General features: G+C 47.9%; 2 annotated features.

Moving 5' to 3' along the window:
• Positions 586-715: an enhancer, noted in NCBI's record as "active region_29022". NCBI's record gives its function as "activates an Ori minimal core promoter by ATAC-STARR-seq in GM12878 lymphoblastoid cells {active_cell/tissue: GM12878}" and the evidence as "EXISTENCE:reporter gene assay evidence [ECO:0000049][PMID:35858748]".
• Positions 776-855: an enhancer, noted in NCBI's record as "active region_29023". NCBI's record gives its function as "activates an Ori minimal core promoter by ATAC-STARR-seq in GM12878 lymphoblastoid cells {active_cell/tissue: GM12878}" and the evidence as "EXISTENCE:reporter gene assay evidence [ECO:0000049][PMID:35858748]".

Genomic DNA, 6000 nt, shown 5'->3' on the forward strand with positions numbered 1-6000 from the left:
TTCCTGCTATGCACTTCTCTCCAGGAAGCTGGCCACGGTGGACCTGTCCTGGCTTCCGGTCAGGATCCAGAGACACTCTGGGTGGAGCCTGGCAGAACAGAGAACAGAGAAGTCAGGGAATTCATTCCCCTGGCTCCTTCCCGCCAGCTGTGGGTTGGCGGTGGCTGGGCTCCTCTGCCAAGGCCCACAGGTCCTGTCAGGCAACTTCTGGGGTTTAGTAGCCACACCTTCCCCTTGTCCCCTCAAGCCAGTCTCAGTCCTGACTCCCTGCTTTTGCCAGGCCTCGGGTACATCACTGTCCTCATTGGAGTCTCTTAACCCTGCCCACACCCTTTGTAAATAGTCCCTTTATGAAACTCTTCTTGGTCACTCCATCTGAGTGTACCATCTGTCTCCTGCCAGGACCCTGGCTGATAGCTTAGGTGTCCTCATTTTACCAGTGAGCCAACTGTGATTCAGAAAAGGTAAGTAAGGTACCAAAGGTCGTCCAGCACCCAGAGCGGAGCTGGGCTTCTCTGCATGGTCCGCGGCTGGCACGCTTGGCGGTGGGTTTCTCCACTGCTCTCTCATGCCTCCATGCACTCGAGTGTTCATTGGGTCTTTGCTTCACGTCACTTTGCCCTCTCCTACCCCTACAACCCTGCCCTCGAGAAGCAGCAGCGGTGCTCTTTCAAAGGCTGCAAGCGCCGGGTATTTCCTAACAACAGCTCATTACCAGAGACACTGCTTGTTTTAGACCAAACTCAACCACCTTCCCACACAAACCTTCTGTTACCACTGTTTGTTGTGAGGTTCTTCCCCCTCCCCATTGCTGATTTTGAAGCCAACTACAGATTGCCTCAGCTAGCTTAACCATTCTCTGTATGGGGAAGAAGTCATCCAGAAAAAACACTTCTAGCCTTTATTTGAGGCAGGGCTTGTCCATCCTGACCAAGGACAAGTAGCTCAGCCCCTGCAGCATGGTGACCTCTCTGACCCCCACTTTCAGCCCTGCAGAGGACCCCACCGAGGCCCTGGTTAACCAGCCGTGCACACCTGGGAAGCAGGTGTCCCCACTGCACATGCTTCTCCCCGGGGTGGAGGCCGGTGGGGTTGAAGGAGAGCAGCGCTGCAGTTCTTGTGAGGAGAAAGAAGATGGAGTGGTTCCTTTGTGTTTGGGAACAGAACGGGGTGGGATGTGAGGGGTGTCACCCACATGGAGCATTTAACACCTGTGCGGTTATTTTGATTCCGTCACACTCAGCTCAGGGACTGCTACTTCCCACCAAACCACCGAAGCGTTCCTTGAGACAGTCCCCATCCCTGGGCATCTTGGAGGGTGCAGGGCTCTAAAATTTGCCCAGTCAGTGGCCCAGTTAGCAGGTCATTGGAAATGAGGTAAGCTTGAACTTGCTGTAACAGTCTGTTATTCCGTAAATGATGTAAAATATGTTCTTTCTCAGTGCAGATAAGTAAAGGATAAGAACGCTGTACCCTTGGTTCCAACTCTTAGGTTCTTTTTAAGAAAATGTTCTACGTTTAAAGTTTAGTGAGTGAAGATGGGTGCGAATAACATTTTTTTCCTTTAACAGGGAAACAGAAAGTGAAGTAGTGGTGGGGAGAGGAGTCTTGGGGACTTTTTCTGAACTGGTTTGACTTGTTTGAATCAAAACCAAACAATTTGCTGGGTGCACTGGCTCATGCTTGTAATCCCAGCACTTTGGGAGGCTGAGGTGGGCAGATCACCTGAGGTCAGGAGTTCGAGACCAGCCTGGCCAACATGGTGAAACCCCGTCTCTACTAAAAATACAAAATTAGCCGAGTGTGTTGGCACATGCCTGTAATCCCAGCTACTCGGGAGGCTGAGGCAGGAGAATTGCTTCACCCAGGAGGTAGGGGTTGCAGTGAGCTGAGATTGCACCACTGCACTCCAGCCTGGGCGACAGATACTCCGTCTCAAAAAAAAAATTTTTTTTTTATTTTAAAATATTGTACCACTTTTAATTTCTTCCAAATAAGCCAAAGTTTACATTGCAAGTAGCTTGATGCAGTTACAGGAAGGAGTTACCATTGTCCTTTGAGGGACTTTGTGGGCTCTATAAAAAAGGATAATTCATAAGCAATATTGTAGGTAAATACATATTATTTTTTAAAAGTGGCTTTTTACTTAGACTACAGTGATTATGAGATCTGTTTTTTTCCCTCATTCCAAAATAAGAAACCAATACAAAAGCCATTAAATGTATTTATAACTTAATAAGATACTATGTTGCTCCCCAGAGTATTCTGGTCTGCTTAGTGCAACAGCTAACCTTTGTTAATGGAAGCTAAAGGCTTGCCTCTAGAACTGCCACCGTTAATTAGATAGGGACGGCAATGTCACCTACCTGGCAGGGTTGGTGTCAGGGTGAAGGCTTAATCCATGGAAAGCGTTTAGAACGCCGCAGAACACAGTGGCCCCGGGGAAATGTAAATGCTAGCAAGGAGTGAGCCCTTTGGTCACTGTGGCACGTGAACTTAAAACTGCTGTGGTCGGGAGCGGATGGGGAGGGGTCAATGCTCCTTTTACCCGCCCATTCCTTGGAGTAGGCCTTGATGATAGCTTTTCTACTAGTTTGAAAATCACTGGACTTGTATTCCTGGGGTTAATTTCTACATGTATTTCCTAAACCTGAGGGTTCAAGTAGGGTTAGCTGCTGGTACCAGTCCTAGAGCACAGTCTGGGGGTGTGTTAATTTGGGGTTAGCAATGCTGTGATAAAATCTCACTTATTAGGATTCTCGGGAAAGATCCTCAACTGCACAGCGTTCCACTCAGGATAGAGGGATGACAACGCTGTAAATGCTGCTGGAATTCCTTCAGGATCTGGCTTAGCTAGAAATTCTAGGCTTAAACATGACAGCAAAGTGACCTTCAGCCAAACTAGAAAGGACTCATTTTTGCTTCACATAGAGCATGTCATATTGTGTGAATCTCTTTTGTCTATTCATAATATGAAGAATATAAGCGAATTTGTCTTGGAGAGAATTTTTTTTTTACTGCAGTTCTATATATTTATTGGCCTCTGAACACCCACTCAACTCACTAAACACTATGCCGACTTTAATAGATATAAGAAAAATTGGGATTATGGAGTAAAAATAACAGCTCTAAGTGAAGATCCACTACATGCTTAACATGTGTTAAGAACGCAACTTGGATTAACTCCTTTATAACAGAACCATGAAGGAGAATTTCCTTCCAGGCCTCATGTAGCGGAAAAGGATGACAGCTTCCTATTCTGTTGGTGAGATGTTTTTCTTCTTCAGGGAAACCCCTCTGTAAGGGCTTCCTCCTGGGCCAGCAGGGATGTCTATGTCTGGAGTGAGATGCAGACAGTTGTCCCTCTCAGGGCACCAAGGCCAGCTTCTGATGCTCGGGAGCAAGGACCTAAGTAGGCCAGGCTGTCCTACTGACGCCTTTAGGTGGTGGGTGACTCGCCGGATCCCCCTCAGGCTCTTGCACTGGGGTCTCTGAGGAGAAATAGAGACTCCACCCCCAGACTGTGCTCTAGGACTGGTACCAGCAGCTAACCCTACTTGAACCCTCAGGTTTAGGAGATACATGTAGAAATTAACCCCAGGAATACAAAGTCCAGTGATTTTCAAACTAGTAGAAAAGCTATCATCAAGGCCTACTCCAAGGAATGGGCGGGTAAAAGGAGCATTGACCCCTCCCCATCCTCTCCTGACCAGAGCAGTTTTAAGTTCACGTGCCACAGTGACCAAAGGGCTCACTCCTTGCTAGCATTTACATTTCCCCGGGGCCCACCGTGTTCTGCGGCATTCTAAACGCTTTCCATGGATTAAGCCTTCACCCTGACACCAACCCTGCCAGGTAGGTGACATTGCCGTCCCTATCTAACAGGAGAACACTAACTTTCACAGATGTAAGAAACCCAGGCAGCCGGTGTCCTGGGCCCCACTGAGCTAGCTACGCGTGCCCTGTTGCTATCTTGTGACTGCCGGCCCAAGGGCCCAGAATGTCAGAGGAAACCCCACTCTGCCTGCTGGCGCCCTAGAGAGGGGTTCTAAAGGCCAGGGGTTTATCTGGGCCCCTGACCATTGCCCTAGTGTTTATCTCCAAGAGACTGTGGGTCTCAACACCAGCAGAACCTGCTTATCTCCACGTTTTTGGGCCCCAAGCTGGCCTACCCTGTTCCCATTTGCTCTGGGACAGCCACTCCCTCACAGCAGCCTCAACTCCACACGTAGTCTTCTGCCCTTGACTGCTCCAAGGCCTCCTCCTAAGCAGATCTGATGCCATCATCTCCCACGTGAGGTCCGCCTGACAGGATCTCAGCTCCTCAGCTTGGCCTCCAAGGCCCTTCCAGATCTGACACCAGCCCTCTTGTTGGTTCTGTTCCTCTGCTCCCCACTTGGGACCTGGGTACTCTCCTAAGGCTTCTCTTGGCTCTTCCATGATGATTCTGCCTTGAATATTCCCTCCTCCTCTTTTCTATTCACTCCCCTGTGACTTTTCCCCTCCTGGGTGAGCTCCTTTCTATTGTTCTAGGCTCTGCAAAAATCATTGCCAAGACACCTTCCCTGAGCATCCCACCCAGCTGCTTAGCACTCAGTGATCCCATTTCAATTTTTTTTTTTTTTTTTTTTGAGATGGAGAGTCTCCCTCTGTCCCCCCAGGCTGGAGTGCAGTGGCATGATCTTGACTCACTGCTACCTCCACCACCTGCATTCCAGCGATTCTGCTACCGCAGCCTCCCGAGTAGCTGGGACTACAGATGCCTCCCACTACGCCTGGTTAATTTTTGTATTTTTAGTGGAGACAGGGTCTCACCATGTTGGCCAGGCTGGTCTTAGAAGTCCTGACCTCAAGTGATCCACCCACCTCGGCCTCCCAAAGTGCTGGGATTACAGGGGTGAACCAGCACGCCTGGCCCCATTTCATTTTGAACTTGGCTCTGCTGTGGCACTTGTCACTTGGTAATTTTGTATATACCATCCATCTTCACTCCCCTCCCCGCCACACACACCCACATGTCCCCTGCTAGACAGCAGGCTCCTCCGAAACAGGAACTATGACTTCATTGTCTGCCCGTTCCTGGCACAGTCCTGTTCCACACTCAATCAATACTGCTGATTTTTTTTTTTTTTTTTTAATGAATGCAGATTCACTGTTGAGTCTTTACCAGTTACAGCCATGAACTTTTTGCTTCCAAGATCTTAGGAAGTACAGGCACACAACAATGTTACGAAGTGCCCTCTTCCAACTGAATGTCACCTAAGTGTTGCCAAAATTGCCTGTTACCTGAGAATTCTGAGATAAGTATGGGTCTTCTTTTCTAACCCAAATGAAAGATTTTATATCTCAGCAGACAGCTGAAATACTGGACACTGGTTTATGTAAGTTAGGCAGAAGGTGGCAGTGGGATTGATCAGAAAAGGGTTTCTGGTAGAGTCAGTGTGTGTCAAGAGAATGACAGCTGGCAACTAGCTTTGGAGGTAGAATAAATGGAATTGACACATTCTCGATTAAATATACCAGAACTATAGTTATAAAAATTGACTAATTTTGTTGTTAATTTCTGCTGGGAAGCTTGTTCTAGAAGGGCATATTTTCAGTGAGGTTTTGGCACAATCTAAAGCAGATGGTTACATGTTATTTGGTGCTTCATCTAATACTGAAATTTGTGGCAATTGATTAAGGACCGAAAGTTGCTTTTGGACAACTTTCAAATTGTGATTTCACCAATCTGAGCTCCAAGTGACAGTAGCACGTTGTAGTCAGGAAACACAGAATGTGGGCTAGATAACTTAGGAGGTTATATGTAATAAAAAACTGTTTCGTGTGAGTCAGCTCTGAAGAGTATGGTGTGAGCCTGTTCAGACCACCCGAAGTTAGAAAGGGCAGGAGTGAAGTCTGTGACTCACACAGGGAGCTCTGCCAAGGAGGTGCCATGCAGTTCTGCTGGCAGGGGCTTCAGAAGCATCTTAGGACAACTGTTTCCAATCTTTTCAAGTA

The sequence above is a fragment of the Homo sapiens genome, chromosome 9 (genome assembly GCF_000001405.40).
Source record: "Homo sapiens chromosome 9, GRCh38.p14 Primary Assembly".
Lineage (NCBI taxonomy): Eukaryota > Metazoa > Chordata > Mammalia > Primates > Hominidae > Homo > Homo sapiens.